Genomic DNA, 21632 nt, shown 5'->3' on the forward strand with positions numbered 1-21632 from the left:
TATGACAAGGGTTTTTCATGTTTATTTAGCAAGTTAAATGCTGTTTTTACTGATGATAGAAAGCAAATAAGATACTCCTCAAAATCAAAGAAAATAATTAAAACTATAAAGTATTTGTTCACCTGAAGTTCAGTATTTATGACATAATTATGCCCTTAGCTACTTTCAAGATTTTAACTTTACTAAAATAAACTTTAAAAAAAAATACTGCATAGGAAAATGTCTGATTCTTGTTTTAAAGTGTTACTGTTTTATTTTTTTTCTTTTGTTGAATACACATTTGTTTTACTGGCAGTCCAGATAAACAAGTATATAAAGGAAATAGTAAATTTTTATTTTGGCAGAAGATAAACTGTGCAGATTAAAATGCCTCAATTTAACCTGAAGAAATGGTTTTGAATCATATAAATTTTTAAGAAGAAAAATAAAGACTGTCCAAAGGGATTCTCCTAGCTTATAACACATTTCCAGAATAACTCTCAAAAAAAAAAAATTCAAAAATACTCATTGACTACCTTAAAAATATGTCAATACCGTATGGCTTTATGAAATAACTTCTAAAATTTATATAATTTTTCTTATTTAAAAAGGACCCCAAGTTTTAAATAAGCTGCTAGCAGTATCATTTTCTTCACTTAAAAGTGCATATCTTTGAGGGTGGGACATACATTTTGAACAAATAATGATTTTTACAAATTAACACCAAAAAAAAAATCATTTAAAATATTGTAAGGAGGAAGAGAGTTTTCACCAAATGTCATCTTTAAATAGACTGCAGTAGACGACATTCTTCCTTTTTCCTTTTTATAACATCATAATTCTCAATGAAATGCTTTGGCAGTTTTAAGACATATCACAGTCTCTACCAAGACATACTGACATTAATGATGTCCGTGGCGATGGCAATTGCCTTGATGGCTCAGTTTGAAGAGACACAATGTTACTGGGCTGGTTCTCCAAATCAGAAACAAAGGTGCTCTCTTCTCTTACATCGAGAGTTTGTTCAACTGAAGCTGCCAGAGGTGGAATATTATCTACAGTTTTGTTGGCATTATTCAAGTTGTTACTAAGTGTGGCAATATCACATTCCTTGTCCAGCACACCAAATTCAGCTTCTATTGTAACTACATCTTTAGTTTCAAATGGTTCCAAGGAAGGAGCCAAAAACTCATTTTGTAGAGGGTCTTGAGGACCACTATTGTCACATTCTGTATCCTCCTTTACTTCAGAATCCTTATCACTGTCACTGTCAATGGTAATTACAACTGGGGAACGTGAAGCATTATCTCCATGGTGTTTCTTATGCTTCTTCTTATGTTTCTTCTTTTTCTTTTTATGGTGTTTAGTTGTATCAGTAGCTTTTCCTTCATAAACTATCTCTACACTTAGGCTCCGGGTCTTCCTTTTTCTCCTTTTGTGTTTTGTCTCTCTGTCTGATGATCGGCTGTCTGAAAAGGTATCACTCTCATTTTTGTAGTTTCCATCCAATTTTGATGAAGATTTTTGGTAATGACTGTCCTTTGCTTTAGAAGCAAATTCACGAGATGGCTGAGCCACTTCGTTAGTACCCTCCAAATGCCGTGTTTTGTATTTTCGTTTCCCTCCAGGCTTTTCATTTCTCACCCGGTCAGTCCCGGTAGATGCAGTCCTTGATCTGTTACTAGACAGGCTCCTTGATCTGTGCCTTTCATAGTAGTAATACTTCCTCTCACTGTGATTATTTTTTTTCCTAGCATTTGTTCTTTCAGAAAAGGACTGAACTCTAAATTCTGGACTTGAAGACTGTCTAGAATAATGAGCTCTGGACAGAGTCCTCCTCCTGTAAGATGATTCGTACCCATCCCTGTCCTTGTTTCTACTGTAATAAGTATACTCCCATTTGTATCTGCTTCCATAATTATTTCTTAAATAATAACGATCTCTATTTCTGCTCCGTGATCTTCTTTTACCATGATCACTGCTACGAGACCTTGATCTGCTTGTGCTTTCACTACTTAGAGACAGAGTTTGGCTTCTTCTGGACCAACTGCTATCTCTAGTTCTTGATCTCTTTTTGTCTCTTCTCCCTCTAGGTCTGCTACTTTCCCTGCTTCTGGATCGTTTACTTTTCATTCTTTTCTTCCCATGATGCTTTCTATGATTCTTCTGATCATGCCCACTTCTACTCTGAGAACGTGAATCTGAACTTCTTGATCTTCCCCTCTTTCTGTGTCTATGGTTATATGGAGAATATACTCTGTCTCCTCTTACAGATGAGTTCAGGTTTCTGGGAGATGACAATGATGTAGATCGTTTCTCTTCCTTCTTTGATTTGATTCTTGTACTAGAATCACAATGACCTTTATTTATTTGTTCATCCTTTCCAAGGACAGAGTGTGGAGATGAGCATCTACTAACATCGCTATCACCAGAACTGTAAGATTGCTCCTGTTCTTGTGTCTTCACTGTCTCCATTTTCTCATAAGAACCTAAGTCCTCAGAATCAGAGGACAGTTCAACAAGTTCTGGGGTCCTCTCAGCTAGTGGTTTAACAAACCCAACAATGACACAATTATCTGAAGAATCATCACTGTCATTATTTAGGTCGTCATTGGTTTGTACTCCTTGTATCTGAGACGTGGCTCCTCCTGTGACAAGTTCTTCATCTGAACTGTCAGAAGTATTTAAAAGAGAAGACATAGTAACGTGTACCTGCTCTGAGCTTGAGTAAGATGGTCCTGGAGTTTCATCATCCCATGGTGCCTGACTAACAGTGGCTACATTAATATCCAGCTCTTGGGTCTCAGCCTCATCTGGAGATATTGTTATGACTGAAGAATCAGAATGGCTGCCTTCTTCGTATGAAGGAGCAGGGCAATCATAATTGGCATGCTGGTCAAAGGCTGCCATGTTAAAAGGAGATCGGGCAAAACTGATAAATTCATGTATAAAATGCTCAGTTCGATTAAGTAAAAATGGTCTTAAATCAGACACAAATGCCTGACTCTCCAAGTCATAGCGAGTAACATTACTCATGATAATATGCTGGACAATATTCACTAAAGATCCATGAGCTCCAAAAAGAACTGTAAGTTCACGTTTTAACCAGGGGACTAATCTGTGAAGGCAAGCTGGATTTCTACGGAAAAATTCAGCTGAAATATCCCTGTAGCGGCCACCATCTTCAATATTTCTAACTCGAGCACCAGCACGATAAAGAGTTCGTCTAAAATTAATAATATCTTGTTCTTGAATTTTCCGCAAAGATCTTTCATCTGCCGTAGTTGGCCTCCTTACTGCAATCTGTCTCATAAACTGAGGAATTTCAACATCTCTAGGTCTTGTTGAAATGCCTAACCCTTCAAACAGTACTCCACTATCCGGTGGAGTTGTTGTTCTTCTGTTCACAGGACCACTAGGTGAATACACAGAAGCATTTCGTTCCCTTGTCAGAGTTGTACGGTAGCGAAATCGTCGATCAGGGGTGACAAAAGAACCATTATACGAAGGCCTTAGGACATACTCCTTGAAGTCATCTTCTGCCCTCACAGAATGGAAAATAGAATCAAAGGGCTGTTTACATAGTGGGCATTCAGCTTTGTTTTTTGACCACTCCTGTACACAGCGAAAACAGAACTTATGTAAGCAGCGATCTAAGTAAGACACATTATCAAATCTATCCAAGCATATAGGACACTTAGAATCAGGAGATGCATCAGCTGGTACTGTCTGTTGCAATTTGCTAGTGCCAGCTTTAGGTGAAAAGTTGTCCATTTTAAATTCCTTAGCAGCTGATGCCATTATCTGTAAAAGGGAAAGAAATATATCAGTAACCTGATAATAGAGGAATGACTAAATAGTCTCAACAAAAATGCAAATAAAGACCTTGAAACTTATTTTGGTGAAAATACTTAAGTGACCCATTACTTTTGTTTTATTTTATAAAGGGGCACTGTAGCATAGTAATATAGTGCTTAAAGCATAAGCTCTGAAGTCAGATTTCCTAAGACTGAATCCTGGTTCCACACTACCAGCGTGACTATGTGCCAGTTAGTATCTCTGTGCTTTAATTTCATCTGCAGGTCAGTGATAACAGAATCTGCCTTACAGGGTTTGTGAAGATGTAAAAAGCCCTTAGAAAAGGCACCTGCTACATAGTAAAGCTCTCAAATATTATGTAACATTCTATTATTCTTTTTAAAAATAATTTGAGAAATATCTGACATATAAAAAAAAAAAGTACCAAATACCCATGTATCCACCACTTATGTTATGCCCCTTATCTTCCCCTCCTATCACTCTCTAGAAAACAAAAAACAAAAACACCACACTCCTCAGTTGATGTTATTTCTATGCATGGCTTTATACCTTTCATATACATATGCCACTAACAATACAGACTACTGATTTATCTGTGATATTTTGTATGTACTTTTCTAAAACAACTTTGGTGACATAACTTACATACCAGAAAGTTCACCTGTTTAAACCAATCCTATGATTTTTAGTGAAAGATTCTTTTTTCAACCTTAGAAAGCTAATTTTAAAAAGGGAGAGGAAACTTTTAGTGAAGATTAAATAATAAATGAAAAAGCAGCCAAGAGGCAGTGCCTGGCTCACAGTAGGTGCTGAGTAAATGTCAGCTGTTATTATTACTACACTATTATATTCAGTTAATCACTCATTCCATTCAGCATTCCTAATAAGCCTTCCTTTAGCTTTTTTCTTTAATCCAAAAGTCAGGCCACAGAATATCTTGAAATCATGTTTTTGGTCCCCTTCCCTATTATCCTTTCCCATAAGGATGACTAGAATATTAAAGATTAGTTTGTTTTATCAGTTTACATTGGCTCAAAACTTTGCTAGAGCTTGAAATCTAGTATGCGTTTTGACTTTATCTCATAAACTCCAAAGCTGCATTTTATACTAATCATTTTGAGTATATTGACTATTGGGGAGTCAGGCGCGGTGGCTCATGCCTGTAATCCAGCACTTTGGGAGGCCAAGGCAGGCAGATCACCTGAGGTCAGGAGTTCAAGACCAGCCTGGCCAACGTTGTGAAACCTTGTCTCTACTAAGAATACAAAAATTAGCCGGGCATGGTGGCAGGCACCTGTAATCCCAGCTACTTGGGAGGCTGAGACAGGAGAATCGCTTGAACCCAGGAGGCAGAGGTTGCAGTGAGCTGAGACTGCACCATTGCAGTGGGTGACAAGAGTGAAACTCTGTCTCAAAACAAATAAACAAACAACAACAAAAAACTACTAGGCCCTTGGTTTCCCAGGGCCTAATATTCATCTTCCTCCACCTCCTTTATCACAGGAGGTTCCATCACTAGTCAACTGGGGTCAAGTTAATCAAATAACAGAATTGTAATTTTCTAAATAGACTCATTGGCCTTAACAAACTATAAGAAAAACCAATAAACAAAACCCACAACAAAAACTCATGACTGAAATACAAGTATTCCACCATAGCTTTCATATTAAACCTGCTCACTTTAGGGCATCTTGGCTTTCTCAGAACCATAACTTAATAGAGAATCAATTAATGCTAAATAAGCGTTTCTTCAGGGGTCCAGGTATGTCTAGTCTTCTATTTACTGGACTGAAAATGCAAAAACATCATCACTGTCCTGGAAGGTCTGGAAAAGCAGGATTATAAATACATAATACTGCTTTTTTGTTCATAAACAGTCTAAAACCCTAATACTGCACAACCTTCTCAGCATTTCCCTCTACTTTTAACATTTTTTAATCTGCCTACTCAAGAAATTTAAAGAAACACACACATAAAAATAAAAACCTTTCAGTTCAGAGACTGTGTGTGTGGTAGAGGGAAGGAACAGAGAAAAGTTGGGAGGGAATCAAAGAGGTTATCAAAAGATCTGGACTGAAGACCAGGCTTCACCTAGAACTAGCTCTAGTTAATGTGAAGAAAACCACATTACTCTAGACTTTAGTTTTCTCCTCTATATAATGAAGGGATTACTGGACTTGGAAAAAAGACCCGTGAATTCCAAGTTAATACATTTTATCTTCACTTAGTTCTCTGAAATAGAATTTTAGTGTTTTCTGAACACTTCCAGTTCACATAAAAATTACAGCTGAAAATGAATTTATTAAAGGGAATTATTAGGTAGTAAACTTGAAGTTCAAATAAAATAAAATCTCAACAAAGTATGATTTTTTTAAAAAAATGAAACCTTACCCTTCCCTTCTCTAGTTTTATAAGCCTGTTAACCACTTTGACAGTAAAAGGTGAATGAATGACTGGTAATGTCCTCCATAACAGGTTAAAAAATAATAATAAATTAGAATTCATTCTTGTATTTCTACACAGGAATCATTAGCTGAAAAGAATAATCTTAGCCGGGCATGATGGGCACACCTGTAGTCCCAGCTACTCAGGAGGCTGAGGCAGGAGGATTAACTGAGCCTGGGAGGTCCAGGCTGCAGTGAGCCATAATTGCACCACCTCACTCCAGCCTGGGTGACAGAATGAGACCCTGTTTCAAAACAAACAAACAAACAAACAAACAGTCTTCATCAGAAACATCAAAGAGGCGGGGCACGGTGGCTCACGCCTGTAATCCCATCACTTTGGGAAGCCAAGGCAGGAGACCCTTGAGGCCAGGAATTTGAAACAGCCTAGGCAACAAAGCGAGATCCAGTCTCTATTTTAAAAAAGAAAAAGAAACATCAAACAATTGGAATGCATGTAGATCAAATAAGTTATTAGCTCTTCAAAATCATCACTAAATACTAAATTAAAATGTTTTTTAAAACGCAAATGAAGTCGAACATATGACCCGGCAATTACACACCTAGATATACCCAAGGGAAACGAAAACTTGTCCACACAAAAAAACTGTATATGAATATTCACAGCAACTTTAGTCATAATACCTCAAAAGGAGAAACTCAAATACCCATCAATTGATTAACAGACTAATAAAATGTGGTCTATCCACACTATGGAATTTTATTTGGCAATAAAAAGGAACAAAGTACTGGTACCATGTTGTAACATGGATGAAACTTTTTATTATGCTAAATGAATGAAAAAAAAAATTCACAAGAACCCACATATTGTATGATACCTTTTATATGAAATGTCCAGAATAGGCAAATCTAGAGAGATGAAATGAGGCTGGTGGCTGCTGCTGGGGCAGTAAAGAGGTTTATTTCTGGGGTGATGAAAACGTTCTACAATTAATTATTGTGATGGTTGTACAACTCTGTAAATATACTAAAAAATCATTGACCTACAAACTTTAAACGGGTGAACTTTATGGATGGAATGTAATCTTTTATTTTATTTTTTTGAGACAGAGTCTTGCTGTGTCGCCCAGGCTGGAATGCAGTGGCGCGATCGTGGCTCACTGCAAGCTCCGCCTCCCGGGTTCACACCATTCTCCTGCCTCAGCCTTCCCAGTAGTAGCTGGGATTACAGGCGCCCGCCACCACGCTCGGCATTTTTTTTTTTTTTTTTTTTTTTTGTATTTTTAGTAGAGACGGGGTTTCACCGTGTTAGCCAGGATGGTCTCGATCTCCTGACCTTGAGATCCGCCCGTCTCGGCCTCCCAAAGTGCTGGGATTACAGGCGTAAGCCACCGCGCCCAGCCCGGAATGTAATCTTAACAAAGCTGTTTAAAAATACAAATTAAGGCATAAAAACTGGGATGACTAGATACAGATTAAGAGTGGTTGATTTGCTGGCCGGGCGCGGTGGCTCACGCCTGTAATCTCAACACTTTGGGAGGCTGAGGCGGGCAGATCACCTGAGGTCGGGAGTTCGAGACCAGCCTGACCAACATGGAGAAACCCGGTCTCTACTAAAAACACAAAAATTCGCCGGGCGTGGTGGCGCATGCCTGGAATCCCAGCTACTCGGGAGGCTGAAGCAGGAGAATCACTTGAACCCCCGGGAGGCGGAGGTTGCAGTGAGCCGAGATTACGCCACTGCACTCCAACCTGGGCAACAAGAGCGAAACTCTGCCTCACACACAAACACACACACACACACAAAAGAGTGGCTGATCTGCAAGAGACGTTCTGAATTTAAGTAGCAAAGGTAGACCCGATGAAAAACACAGTGCTTCAGGTTCTGTAAGAAGCCTGTGTTACGGGTTTTCCATCCTAGCACTCTAGGAATTAGGACATTTCCTCACAGGAGACAATCAGTTCTTCCAGTCACACTTCCTAAACTGTCTCCCAAATCCTAAATGAAGTTCACCATCTTTAGTATAAACTGATTAAGCCAAAACTTCCCTTTCCCGAAAAATCCTCAAATCTGGCTTTAACAAGGATAATAACAATTCGGGGAAATTTCAGCTAATTAATATGGACACACGTCTAGGGAAAATGGATGGGGGAGATAAAGAATCAGGAAGCTCGAATCTACATTTCAGGAGACTGGATATTTGAAAAACTGCACAATGATATAAACGAAGTATAACTGCTCTGTAGAATTAAAGTTAGACTTACTACAAAAGTCATCTATGGCCGGGCGTGGTGGCTCATGCCTGTAATCCCAGCACTTTGGGAGGCCGAGGTGAGCGGATCACAAGGTCAGGAGATCGAGACCATCCTGGCTAACACGGTGAAACCGTCTCTACTAAAAATACAAAAAATTAGCTGGGCGTAGCGACGGGCGCCTGTAGTCCCAGCTAGTCGGGAGACTGAGGCAGGGGAATGGCGTGAACCTGGCAGGCGGAGCTTGCAGTGAGCCGAGACTGCGCCACTGCACTCCAGCCTGGGCGAAAGAGCAAGACTCCGTCTCAAAAAAAATAAATCAATAAAAATCAAAAGTCATCTATGGCATACACTGTATATAAAATTTAATCATCTGCTGATTACATTTGCGGGAGTGATGTTAATTTTGCTGCAGAGCCAAGGCTGAGAATCGCCACCACTTAGTAGGTGTGTAACCTGGAGGAAGTTTTTTCTCAAAATCTCACGTTTTCTCAATTCTAAAATGGAATTGAAAAGGTGGTTGTGTGACGGGACATATTTCATAAAAACCCTTAGCACAGTGCTTGATGCACAGTAAGAACTCAACAATGTTCTCTATGTTACGTGAACACGAAGTGAATTTCGGTAGCTCATCACCCATAACTGATTATATGGGTCCAGACAGAGGATAGTTTATAACAACAAAATAATCATCATACTTAATATAATTATTATACTTAATATTTCTAGGCAAAGTGACTAAAAAGGGTTCACGAATAGATGAAATAGAAAGATCACCCAAGTATTAAAAATAAACTGGTTCCTACCTCTTGCCACCTTAAAGAAATCACTGTACCTCTCTGAACTGCATTTAATCAACTCCAAAAGAAGATACAAAAGTCACAGGATCTCAGTAGATCCTATCAAATTTATCCAGATCCTATCAAATTTAATCCAATTCCAGCAAAAAGAATTGGCTGGGAACCGTTCGCCTCTAAAACCACTCATTCCAGACAAGTATGATTGATTTTAGCTGATTGTATAGCTTTCTTTGCATTTCATGGACAAAACCCAGAAAGCTCTCACCACTATTAACTTAAATCTTGGGCAGCTGTTTCTTAATTTATCTTAAATAATCTTGAAAATTACCTATCAAAAGGTCTACTCCGTTTTCCTCTTAAATCACTATGTGGCTCATCTCAGCACTGCCCCCTTCCAGCCTACAATCAGCAACCCATGAGGAAAGCTGCAGTAAATGGATGGATGAACAAGTCACGGGCAATTTCTGCTCAGAATGTTTAACACAACACAGACAAGTCCCAACTCCCAAAGCCACGGTGATAGTCGTTTACTTTGGTTCAGAACTGCCACTAGACTAAGATAAGCACCATGAGCATTACATAACCACAACGAACTTAAATATTGTTATTCCCATTTTACAGACAGGCTCAGGGATTTAAGGGACCTAGGCAAGGTCACATATCCTGTAAGTGGTGACGCCACGATTCAGTCTCATTGCTTTTTTGCTTTTCCCTGAGACCAAGCTCTTTCCAGTACACGGCCAGGCTCGCGCCCCTCGGGAGCGCTTGTGGGAAGCGCAACCCTCGCCTGCCCGCACCAATCCACAGGTGCGCGCAGGAGCCGCTCGGGGGCCCTGGCCCTGGCCCGCCGAGGCCCGGACAGCCCCGCAGGCCATGACCGCAACCCTCGGGTCCCGAGGCGCCGCTCCAGGCGGGAGCGCCAACTCCCACGGCCCTTCCGACCCCCGCGTCCCATTGTTCCGAATCTCACTCACCTCGGAGGATGCCGGCGCAGGCCTGGCTGGGGCGCTCGCCGCGAGCTCCCGGCAGCCCAGAAAGCTAGGTCGGTGTCGGCAGGATCCGCGAAGGCGTACCCGGCGACTTCTCCGCCTACCCTCCGAAGCGGGAGCAGGCGGGGGCGCTTCACCCTCCTCGCGAGACAGCGGAGACCCCAGCGGCGGCTGCGACCCCTGTGACGCAAAGGGCTCATCACCAATGGCAGCTCGGAAGCAGGGCAGAGAGCGAGACCCACCCCCCAGCTCCCGCGCATCAAAACACAACACCCGCCTTCCTCACGCATGCGCAGCAGATGGACGCCGGCCTCGGGGGCGGGGCTCAGCGCACCGGCCCAAATGCGGCCCCTCCCCCGCCGCTCCAGACCCCGGAGGAGGGCAGCGCGACCCTCCCCATCTTGTTACTGGTACTCAGCCACTGGGGACACTGACTGAATGTTCGCCCCTAACTTACCCGGAAAACACGAGAACTAGTTCGATGTCGTTTCAACCTTACCAAACTCTGCGGAAACTTAGGAAATTATCTTTAGTGTCTAGATAGGGGAATTGTTAGATGGACTTGAAGTCTCTCACCTCCTGTTGTACGCCTCCCGGAAGCAACACCAGGAGTCCAACGGGATCCCAAACCAGAGCCCAACCAGTATCCTATAAAGTCTTCAGAGAGGGATCCCCTCCAGGCTGGGGAGAAACAGGACAACCTAACAAAACAGGGCCTGGACTCCTCCCTAAACAGACCACGTTTTTCTCCGCTCTTCCCCTTCCCACTCCCTGAAATCTAGACTAAAACTCTTTTAAGATAACTGCGAGGTATAAAGAACGTCTAGAGCCTAAGCGGCCCGTTGCCAGATTCTACTCCTCAGGCCTCAAATGTGAGCGCCCCAAACATTCTAGAGCTGAACCTGGTACGCTCGCCCACCAAACTGCCGTGCTCGGGGCTTAGTATCTCACGCGCGGCAGTTCAAGAACATCAGACACGCTCAACAAACACTTGTTGCTTGACTGATACATTATGGCGGGTAACGCGTCCCACGTATTTCTTCTTAGAGATATACATTACGCTATACGTTTCTGAAGAATGGCTCGATTTACAGGGGTTCCCACAACGATTTGTCACATATAAAAGAGTGGGTGGTATTTTTACGTCAAAGATGAACAGGCGAACGTCCATCTAAATCGTGTGGTATCAGATGCGGGGAGGCGTGGGGGAGGGAGCGGGGGAGAAAGCGTTAATTCTTCCAGCTTTAGAGCCAGACGTAATATTTAAAACGTGGATTGTTTTTCAAATTAACTTTTAAATGGACACGACAGCACCTTATCCTGCATTAATATTGCATTGCAACTAGAAAGAAAACCAGTGGAGGTACGCCTATCTCCTTAGTTGGCAAAAAAAAAAAAAAAAAAGCAATTTTTAACATTTTCTCGTTTATTCCCCTCTCTAAAAGGCGGGCAAGGCCCCCGATCACGTGATACCGCCCCCCAACTCCGGGCGGAAGAGGCCAGCGACAGCGCTGCACGAAGCGAGTGGGCGGGCGCTCGTGCCCGGCTAAAAGATGGCTGCTGGCGCCTGGCAGCCACCGCCTGGGAGGTTACTGTAAGGCCCGCAGCTCCCGCCAGCTCCCGCGGACTGCTGCCGCCTCCTTACCATGAAGCCAGTAAGTCGTCGCACGCTGGACTGGATTTATTCAGTGGTAAGTCCCGGGGATCGCGGGCCCCCACCGTGTCGACTCACTGGGCCCGCAGGCGGAAAGGCCCTATTTCTTCAGCACCCAGAAACTCCAAAATCCATTCCTGAATTAAGCATTTCACTCCCTCACCTCGACTCCGCCTCTTCCTGGAGGATACGATCTTCCGCTTCTTACGTAAGGGCTGCTGGGTGTACCCGCCACTGGAACCCCATTTATTCGACTTTGTTACTTTAATTCCCACCTTAGCAATGGCAACGGTAACCTGACGGGGGCGAGGGGAAATATCAGGTAGATTTCACACCTCCTTTGCGATTTTTGGTTTAGTTGCTGCTTGCCATCGTTTTAATCTCCTGGGGCTGCATCATCTATGCTTCGATGGTGTCTGCAAGACGACAGCTAAGGAAGAAATACCCAGACAAAATCTTTGGGACGAATGAAAATTTGTAACTCTTCTGGATTTAATTATCTGAAAATACAGTTCTTTCCCTCATGCTTATGTAGATATAAAAATAAAATTCATAATGCAAAGTTCCCAAGTTTATTTTTGCATTATCCTTTATAACAAGCACTAGTATGCAAATTTTTCACTTAGAGATTTTAGTATTTTACATTCTCATGACAAAATTAACAGCAACCTAAATCTGACAGTCTTGAGTGTCAGATCATAGTTGGAATAAGCTTTTCAATCAAGTTTCTAAATTCTTCAAAAATGATTCGGAAAGCTTTTTTTTTTTTTGAGACGGAGTCTTGCTCTGTCGCCCAGGCTCAGTGGCACTATCTCGGCTTACTGCAAGCTCCGCCTTCTGGGTTCACACCAATCTCGTGCCTCAGCCTCCGCAGTAGCTGGGACTACAGGAGCCCGCCACCACGCCCGGCTAATTTTTTTGTATTTTTAGTAGGGACGGGGTTTCACTGTGTTAGCCATGATGGTCTCGATCTCCTGACTTCGTGATCTGCCCGCCTCGGCCTCCCAAAGTGCTGGGATTACAGGCATGAGCCACTGCGCCTGGCCGGAAAGATTTCCTTAAAACAAAAGTGCATGGAATTGCTGTTCTTACATTTGTTTATTGTGATATTTCACTGTTGCATACCCTGATACCAAATTAGTGTAAGTACTGTGTAAGAAAAAAACAAACAAACATGTAACTAAATACTTTTCCATACCGTTTTCCAAGTCAAGAATGACCAGAAAAAGTAGGTAGTCTCTCATATTTGTTTAGCATGTCCACTTTTTACTTATTGTTAAATTACTCAGTCTCAAATTGTACAATGCTTGAAAACAGATATGACAATTTCTGAGATTAAACTTTATTAAAGTTACTTTTCCAGAAAATTCAGTAAATATGGTAATATAGGAACAAACTTAGGCTCATAAGCCTTTTAACTTTTTACATAATCTTTAATGATGTTGATCAGGAAATTCTTTCATTGGTGGAATTACTTCTCCAGTCTCCAGAATTGTATCACCCTAGGAAAACAAAGATACAGTTAGTACAAAAATCTTAAGTCTACAGAGGTGATAGTTCTATTCTGTTCTATGTTCATCAGATCTCACATGGAAAATGTACTTGAGTTCTGGCATTCCCTTTAAAAGGACCCTAGACAAAGTAGAAGCTGACTAAATCTGAACAATCAGTATTCAAAATTTTAAGGTATAGTGAAATAATAGGGAAATTTTCACTCAGAAACAAAATAATCAAAAAGGGCACGAAAATTGTGTTCTCTAAGTGATAAAGGGATAATCTTTTATTTTGTATGACCCCAATAAATGGAGGCCCCAGAAAGAAGTTGCAAGGAAACATCTGCAGTTCCAGATAAGGAGGTAATGTACCCCCAGCAACTGAATGTGTTACGCAATCACCAGTTTTCTGATTGGCTTACATACTGAATACAGAATACAAACTTTGGCTAGGCAGCTGGTCCAGATGTCTTTTCAATTCTTGATATAGATGTGGGCAAAAAGGCATGGGCATTGAAGCCAGAACCAAGTGGTAAGAATCTTGGAACCTCCACTGACAAGCTGTATAGTTTTAAGACAGATTATTCAATTTCAGTTTCAGCCATGTGTTTAAGATAGATTCTGTTAGCCTGCCAGTCCCTGAATGACTGGGAAGAGTAGAATTGTCCCCATACCCACCCCAATCCCTGCCATTCCCTGACCTGGTACTGCTCAGGATTATAGTCCAATGAAAAAATAAATATGTTTATGCCATTATACATTTGGGCAACAATTTGTTAGTACAGCTAGCATTATCCCAATAGAAATCATTGCCTTGAAGTGGCACTAATGCTGCTGTAATAAAAATCAAGCTATAGGGCACTGGCTTAGCAGTCTGGTAGCAAAGATAAAGATGGAAACAAAAGGCAGTGGCAAACTATTTAGCAAAATATCTCCTATAACTTGGAAGCTGACTGCCTAATGAACTTGAGGTTCTAGAAGAAGTAGCTGGGAAAAAAAGTTATAGTATGTGTTTGGATCCTTGGGATCCTTGGATGCCTTGGGAATGTACTTTAAGAAGCATGAGCTCAGGCAAAAAGTGGCTGATTTGAGAGGCGACATAAAAATGGAGAGGACGAGAGAACACTTTGGTGCACGCTAGAGACTTTCTGTTCCTGACCAAAAAAAAAAAAAGTTAATAGAATCTAAAAATTTGGGCCAGTCATGGTGGCTCATGCCTGTAATCCCAGCACTTTGGGAGTCCAAGGCAGGAGGATTGCTTGAGGCCCAGAGTTCAAAACCAGCCTGAGCAAGAGTAGGACCCTGTATCTAAAAAATAAATAAAAAATCAGGACCTTGTGGTATTGAAAAATCACACTACTTCAGAATTCCTAAACAATAAGTTAACACAAGAAATCTGAGCAACAGAAGCCCAATAAAACTCAAACAGAGGGACACAGCCCTATGGCAAAGATCAGTTTAAAATGAAGGTAGCCTTTGAACCAGTCTGCCTCAGATGGCCTCCACATAGCTGCCACAGAGGTGAGAGAGGCAGATGCATAAGGACAAAGAAATGAGACAAGCTGGTAACTGTGTATAGGAAAAACAGATACTGGCATGAGACACTGACTAGAAGTAAACACATTAGATGTCTACCAAATATTTTTCTTTTCATGCTTCTAAATGTTAAGGGAAATGGATGGACAAACCAAACATATAGTTTACAGAATCCTGCCAGAATGTTTGAAATTAAAACAACCTCTGGCATTCAACCTCCTGCAAGCAGGTGGCAGATTCTGAAGCCCATACAGCCCCCTAAGGAGGGCATGCTTCCCAATACCATTTAGATGTGGTCTAGGTAGATAATGAAAAGAACAAACCCCCTGGACAGAGCCAGGAACCAGGAAGAACGATGGATAAAGGTGTTCTTTCAAGAAAACAAAATCAGTGCCCATTCAAGTAATTTCTCACACACGGGTTAGGAGTGAGATTTCAGGATTGCCAAGAACCAGTGACTACTATGCTATCCAAATTCTACCACTGAACAATGGGTGTGGTTGGGGGACAAGGATACAGTTAACTTGTCTTCTTAGTTCACTGATCCTCAGATCAACAGAAGTCATATATAAACCTGACATACTATTTTACATCATCTGGAGATCATGGATTTGGGGCCGGGGTGCAATGATGGAATGGGACTTTGGGATTTCTCCCTAAGGAGAGAGACTAAGTGTGTTATGCATGGGTAAAGAAAGAAGCCAAGAGCTGTTTGGTGACTAGAAAGATGGAATGTAGCAGAAACTCCATGAACAGGGGTCTGGGAAATAGCAAAGAGCACACAGATAATATTTGGGAAGATGACAGTGAGTTTTAGCTAACAGAATTTGAGCAGAAGTGATGTAAGCTACTTCTAAGCTTAGATCCTAAAAATCATCCCCTGAGACATCCTGCCGTATCTTTGTATCACAATCTTGGAACCTCATATTCGATAGGCACGGCTGTAAGATTGAGGAAGATCACCTGATTCACAGTAGTCTGTGATGTCAACAAGAAATAAACCTCTGTTTTGTTAAGCCATTGAGATTTGGAAGTTTGTTATTACTTGTCCTATTCTAAACATATATACAATGAGCATTCTTCAGTTCCTCAAAGGGGTCATGGCACAGAAACAAGAAAGAACCACAGTGGCAAAAAATACAGAAATATGAGAAATGCTACAGGATCCCTGATATGGTCTTCTGAATAGAGCTCTCCTTTTCCTTTGAACAGTAAATGGCAAAATAAATTAACATTTAAATGGAATAAATGGAAGACTAAATAAATATAAATTGCCCAGCTGGAAAAACCAGCAAGATAATTTCCTATTTTGAGACTACCTAGGCTGTAACACACATCAATGTTACACAATAAAACAAAAGGAGAAATCCCCTACTTTTTTTTTTTTTTTTTTTTTTTTTTGAGGCAGGGTGCTCTGTCGCTAAGGCTGGAGTGCAGTGGCGCAATCTTGGCTCACTGCAACCTCTGCCTCCCAGGTTCAGGCAATTCTTGTGCCTCAGCCTCCCCGGTAGCTAGGATTACAGGCGTGCACCACCATGCCCAGCTAATTTTTGTATTTTTATTAATAGTAGAGATGGAGTTTCACCATGTTGGCCAGGCTGGTCTCAAAATCCTGACCTCAGGTGATCCACCTGCCTCTGCCTCCCAAAGTGCTGGCATTACAGGTGTTAGCCACCGCGCCTGGCCCCCACTTTTTTTTTTTTTTTTTCCCGAGACAGAGTCTCACTCTGTGACCCAGGCTGGAGTGCAGTGGCGCAAACTCCGCACACTGCAACTTCTGCCTTCCAGGTTCAAGCAATTCTTGTGCCTCAGCCTCCAGGTAGCTGGGATTACAGGCGTGCACCACCACACCTGGCTAATTTTTGTATTTTTTTTTTAGTACAGATGGTGTTTCACCATGTTGGCCAGGCTGGTCTCGAACCCCTAGCCTCAAGGGATCCACCCACCTCGGCTTCCCATAGTGCTGTAATTACAGGCATGAGCCCCCGATACCCCCTACTTTTTTTTTTCCTTTTTCCTTTTTTTTTGAGATGGAGTTTCACTCATTTCTGAGGCTGGAGTGCAGTGCCACGATCTCAGCTCACTGCAACCTCCGCCTTCCAGTTTCAAGCAATTTTCCTGCCTCAGCATCCTCAGTAGCTGGGATTACAGGTGCCCGCCACCACGCACGGTAATTTTTGTATTTTTAGTAGAGACGGGGTTTCACCATGTTGGCCAGGCTGGTCTCGAAGTTCTGACCTTGTGATCCACCCACCTTGGCCTCCCAAAGTGCTGGGATTACACGCGTGAGCCACCGCGCCTGGCCCCTCCCCCAACTATTTCTTAAACCAGCGTTCCAACTGGGACCGCTGGCCAGTTTTGGTGGCCCTTCCTAAAATTCCCCTGTTGCAACAGATAATCATTACTGTGACTAAGTCATTTGATTAAAGCAAGAATCACACTTTTGTTATTTAAATTGTGTACTTTTGAGTTATGATAGTTCATTATCTGTGACTAGAAATAGACAAGAACATAGTATGTATTCTACTATGCTAAACAATAACCTCACAAACAGCTAGTAAATACCAACTGACTACTGAGTCACCTTTTAATGCTAAAATAACTCATTTCAAATTAGTACTATAGCTCACACATTCATAGTATACATTTTTTTTTTTTGAGACGGAGTCTCGCTCTGTCACCCAGGCTGGAGTGCAGTGGCGCAACCTCGGCTCACTGCAAGCTCCACCTCCCAGGTTCACGCCATTCTCCTGCCTCAGCCTCTCGAGTAGCTGGGACTACAGGCGCCCGCCACCACGCCCAGCTAATTTTTTGTATTTTCAGTAGAGACGGGGTTTCACCGTGTTAGCCAGAATGGTCTCGATCTCCTGACCTCACGATCCACCCATCTTGGCCTCCCAAAGTGCTGGGATTACAGGCATGAGCCACTGTGCCTGGCCCATAGTATAAAATTTAAAACACCCATTAGTGGATATTAAATTCACAGATGGAGAACTTAAGGTCAAATCTTGAAAATGAGGTACAAAGCCATAGGACATGAGAGTTTGGAATTAATAACAGAAATTCAGTTGCTGTCACCATGCATGGATGTTTGCTTAGGCTCATGCCCTAAGCTCTTTACCCAACATGAAACAGGACACAGTGAAAAACTTTTGGTACTTTCAACTCCCTTTAGGAAAATCAAGGTCACAAAACACGTTTTACAGCCAGGTTGAAAATAAATGTGCTCACTTCCCATTTGAACTGTAATTGTTACCTCACGGTATTTCTTCCTGTTTTTTTTTGTTTTGTTTTGTTTTTTACAAGAATACACAAAACAGGGACTTAAACCGAAAGTGAGAAGGAAAGAACATTTTAATCTAATAATTGCTTGGAAAGGGAGGAAAAGGAAAGAGAAAAACAATAAACAAAAGAAAAATCAGAAGTGTTAAGACTTACAGGGAATATTCTGGACTTCTTTTCAACTATGCCATATGGTTTTTCCTGTAATAAAAGTTAACTCTGTGTTAATTATGGTGTTAAGAGTTTCTTCTGAAAATAAGAAATAGGTCATACCCCAAATTTTAACTTAAGCTCCAAACTTTCACAGAACTCCAGATTCACATATCCAACTGTTTACTCAACATCTCTACTTAGCTATCAAACAGGCATCTCAAACTTAACCAGGTCCCACACTTAACTTCTCCCATCCCCAAACTGTTCCTCCCCATGTCCCCCATCTCAGTAAATGACACTCTTATTCCCCCAGTTATGAAAGACAGAAACCTTGACTCCTCAGCAGAGCCTGTTAATTCTATCTTAAGAATATACCCTGAATCCAACTGGTTCTCATCACCAGCCTTGTCCAAGCCTCTATCATATTTTCACCTCAACTACCACAACAGCACCTACTAGCCTCCCTGCTTCCACTTGTGCCCTCCTATGCAAATGAAAAGTCTATTCTCCACACTTCAAGGCAGAGTACACTGATTCTTTTAAGATATGTCACTCTGCTCAAAGTTTCATAATTCTTAGAGAAAAAGCCAGTCTTTTCTCCCTCACTTACTCTACTACAGCCACAGTGGCTCCATTCCTAGGAGTCCAATTCAGTCAAGCCTGCTTGTGCCTCAAGGCCTCTGTACTTCATGATTCCTCTACCTGAAATGCTCTTCTCCTAAATACTGCTTGACCTGTATCTTCATTTCATTTATGTTTGTCTTCAAAGATCACTTCCTCAGAGAGGCCTAATTAAAATAGCAAGCCTTATCATTCTCTAGTTTTTACCCTGCTTAATTTTTCTTCTATAGACTTGTTCTCCTATAACATTAATATACCTCTTTGTTTATATATTTATTACCAGTCTCTAAAACTAAACATTTCATGAGGGGAGGGACTCAATCTGCTCTGTTCACTGCTGTATCCTGGTCTTTAAAACAATGCCTTGCACATAAGAGGTACTACATAAGTAATTGTTGAATACATGTACTTTTTATGCATATACATCTGCACAAGATACCACTGCCCAAAATTTAAAAGATTATTGGCATGATATGAGGCATAGAGAACTGGAACATGAGAGAAACTCAGAATACAATGTGAGCACTTTAAAATGTCTTTACGTGCTAAAAGGCAAAAAGACACTGAAAAGTCATCTGAGAGATGCAGAATTCAATTAGGCAGCAAAGGAGTGAGCTGAAGCAAACTGGTTGCAATCTTATTGAAGATGCAATCCTTTACCTACCAAAATCAAGAGAAAAAGTAAGGTAAGTGAGTGGCTCTGGGACCTCTACTGACACAAAATGTTTAACTAAATATGTCCATCTATGGCTCAGGAAAAATCACCTGGAAGTGTGAACCCTCAGATAAGCAACCACATTACTGTATTAAATTGTCAACCTAGTGACTGCAGTTTGTTAAATTTGCTTCTCTTAGAAATGTCTTTTCGATCCCAGAAAAATGTAGTTAAATTTAGATATGATAAAGTAAGTTAAACCCAGAGTATAAATAAGTGAATGTGTCAACTTTTAAAAGTTCTGAAAACATTGCTACATTCCATACATTCTGTTGATCAGAGTTTGTAATGTGTAAGATAATCTGGCTAACAGAGGTTTTAAAAAATTAGGTTTAGGATTCTAGTTAAAATGCATAATTGATTTGTGATTCTAGGTTGAAAAAAATTACTTCTTAGAATCATAAATTTACCATATAAATACTTCGAAATAAAATTGAACACACAAAATGTATAAATACAATTTAAAATATTTAACAGAATTTAGCTATGTTTGTAAATGGAATTGTTTCAGAAGAGTTCAACTTCAATTAATCCAAAGATAGTAAAAACAAAGGAGATTATTCTTATTTTACTAGATGCATAGTTTAATAGAATTTTAAAACTGAATTTAAAGAATTAGGAAAAAAATATGTTTTTATATTTGAAACTCAAGAACCATACATTAATCTGGATTTTAAGTCACTGTAACCAGTTCTTTCTGCACATAAAAATCACTCTTGGATGTTAAACTTTCACTGACAGAAAGTAATATATTTTCTTCTCTAGGGTCTTACATGCCAAAATAGTGAAAACATAACAGATGTATAATGAAATGAAGTAGCCTTTTTATGAACATAAACTTTTTTAAAGCCCATCAACAACAGAAATACAAACTATTCTCTCACCCTTAGATATACAAATTGTTAGCCCTTTTTAATAGTTGTAGAGAGAGTTTGTGTTGGTTTGTAATGTGAAAATCCCCTAACCCAACTCTAATTCCTCTTAGAACTAACAATCTCATGTTTCTAACACATAAGACAGGCCATGTCCACTTGGACATCTCCAAAACTGCCATGGCAGCACACGCTCCTAAAAAATTCACTATTTTCTTTTTTTTTTTTTGAGACAGAGTCTCGTTATATCGCTCAGGCTGGAGAGTGCGGTGGCCCAATCTCGACTCACTGCAACTTCTGCCTCCTGGTTTCCAGCAATTCTTCTGCCTCAGCCTTCTGAGTAGCTGGGATTACAGGCACATGCCACCAAGCCCAGCTAATTTTTTTGTATTTTAGTAGAGATGGGGTTTCACCATGTTGCCCAGGCTGGTCTCGAACCTCTGAGCTCAAGCAATCCACCCGCCTCAGCCTCCCAAAGTGCCAGGATTACAAGCATGAGCCACCACACCCAGTCTAAAATATTCACTTCTATCCCATCATCAGAAAGCCCTCCCTTCCAATACCCTACTTGTAATTTCCAAGGCTAGAGATTTTGCAGTCATAAATGACTGTGAACTTTGGTTTTATCCCCAACTTAATCAACCACCAACTTCAGGTGTTTCTTCCTTTAGAAGTGTCTCTGGCTTTATTTTTCTTCTTCATCCCTGCTATCTTCACCCTAACCAGATTCTCAACTGACATCTACTAAAACGCAATGGCCTCCAGCTGATCTGCCCTGCTGTCAGAACTTTCTTCCCTTCAATTCACCATCCATTTCAATGTTTTTCTTTGTTTTCCTCAATGTATCACATTCATCAAGTCACTCTCCCATTAAAAAATGGAAAGCTTCCCATTGCCTATCACATGCAGTTCAACTTCTTCTATCTAACTTTCAACACCTTCCATAAATTGGTCCCAGGCTACCTAGTCAACAGACCTTCCATTCTAGTCAGCTCCTCAGTCTTAGGTACATACGGCCACGTTCATTACTGACTCCATATGTTTGCTTCTAACAGGAATTA

The 21632-nt window shown here is 41.1% G+C and overlaps 3 protein-coding genes across 10 annotated transcripts in view, besides 7 other annotated features; 1 reads left to right on the forward strand and 2 right to left on the reverse strand.

The window, feature by feature from the left end:
* Positions 1 to 12043, reverse strand: TOPORS (TOP1 binding arginine/serine rich protein, E3 ubiquitin ligase). Of its 2 annotated transcripts, NM_005802.5 has the most exons (3): positions 11891 to 12043; positions 10231 to 10425; positions 1 to 3783 (listed from the first exon to the last, which is right to left on the reverse strand). In NM_005802.5, the coding sequence occupies exons 1-3, from the start codon at positions 11891 to 11893 to the stop codon at positions 844 to 846; spliced, it is 3138 nt and encodes a 1045-aa protein (NP_005793.2). In that variant the 5' UTR covers positions 11894 to 12043; the 3' UTR covers positions 1 to 843. The 2 variants fall into 2 exon arrangements, with proteins under 2 accessions (NP_005793.2, NP_001182551.1); NM_001195622.2 differs by lacking the exon at positions 10231 to 10425.
* Positions 10044 to 10103: a silencer, noted in NCBI's record as "silent region_19826". NCBI's record gives its function as "represses an Ori minimal core promoter by ATAC-STARR-seq in GM12878 lymphoblastoid cells {active_cell/tissue: GM12878}" and the evidence as "EXISTENCE:reporter gene assay evidence [ECO:0000049][PMID:35858748]".
* SMIM27 (small integral membrane protein 27) overlaps positions 10601 to 21632 on the forward strand; it is a 15717-nt gene continuing 4685 nt past the window's right edge. For 2 of the 5 annotated variants that reach the window (NR_146061.1, NR_146063.1), the window contains exon 1: positions 11691 to 11936. Coding sequence is in view for 3 of the 5 variants with exons in the window: in NM_001349118.1 (NP_001336047.1) it covers positions 11892 to 11936; positions 12258 to 12380 (168 nt within the window). In the remaining 2 variants the exon portion in view is untranslated. Of the gene's footprint in view, positions 11265 to 11690; positions 11937 to 12257; positions 12475 to 21632 lie in introns of those variants that run through there. The other 3 variants (NM_001349118.1, NM_001349119.2, NM_001387564.1) reach the window with 3 other exon arrangements.
* Positions 10604 to 10823: a silencer, noted in NCBI's record as "silent region_19827". NCBI's record gives its function as "represses an Ori minimal core promoter by ATAC-STARR-seq in GM12878 lymphoblastoid cells {active_cell/tissue: GM12878}" and the evidence as "EXISTENCE:reporter gene assay evidence [ECO:0000049][PMID:35858748]".
* Positions 11103 to 11817: an enhancer, noted in NCBI's record as "H3K27ac hESC enhancer chr9:32551644-32552358 (GRCh37/hg19 assembly coordinates)". NCBI's record gives its function as "activates a minimal SCP1, AML or CMV promoter by ChIP-STARR-seq in primed H9 embryonic stem cells {active_cell/tissue: H9 hESC(primed)}" and the evidence as "EXISTENCE:reporter gene assay evidence [ECO:0000049][PMID:30033119]".
* Positions 11103 to 12531: a biological region, named in NCBI's record as "H3K27ac hESC enhancers GRCh37_chr9:32551644-32552358 and GRCh37_chr9:32552359-32553072".
* Positions 11464 to 11673: an enhancer, noted in NCBI's record as "active region_28263". NCBI's record gives its function as "activates an Ori minimal core promoter by ATAC-STARR-seq in GM12878 lymphoblastoid cells {active_cell/tissue: GM12878}" and the evidence as "EXISTENCE:reporter gene assay evidence [ECO:0000049][PMID:35858748]".
* Positions 11684 to 12013: an enhancer, noted in NCBI's record as "active region_28264". NCBI's record gives its function as "activates an Ori minimal core promoter by ATAC-STARR-seq in GM12878 lymphoblastoid cells {active_cell/tissue: GM12878}" and the evidence as "EXISTENCE:reporter gene assay evidence [ECO:0000049][PMID:35858748]".
* Positions 11818 to 12531: an enhancer, noted in NCBI's record as "H3K27ac hESC enhancer chr9:32552359-32553072 (GRCh37/hg19 assembly coordinates)". NCBI's record gives its function as "activates a minimal SCP1, AML or CMV promoter by ChIP-STARR-seq in primed H9 embryonic stem cells {active_cell/tissue: H9 hESC(primed)}" and the evidence as "EXISTENCE:reporter gene assay evidence [ECO:0000049][PMID:30033119]".
* The window catches only part of NDUFB6 (NADH:ubiquinone oxidoreductase subunit B6), a 20159-nt gene continuing 10984 nt past the window's right edge, over positions 12458 to 21632 (reverse strand). For 2 of the 3 annotated variants that reach the window (NM_001199987.2, NM_002493.5), the window contains 2 exons: positions 18367 to 18411; positions 12458 to 13401 (listed from right to left, as the gene is read on the reverse strand). In NM_001199987.2, coding sequence (NP_001186916.1) covers positions 13333 to 13401; positions 18367 to 18411 — 114 coding nt within the window. In that variant the 3' untranslated portion in view covers positions 12458 to 13332. The remainder of the gene's footprint in view (positions 13402 to 18366; positions 18412 to 21632) is intronic. The other variant, NM_182739.3, reaches the window with a different exon arrangement.

Source organism: Homo sapiens, chromosome 9 (genome assembly GCF_000001405.40).
Source record: "Homo sapiens chromosome 9, GRCh38.p14 Primary Assembly".
In the NCBI taxonomy this organism is placed as follows: Eukaryota; Metazoa; Chordata; class Mammalia; order Primates; family Hominidae; genus Homo; species Homo sapiens.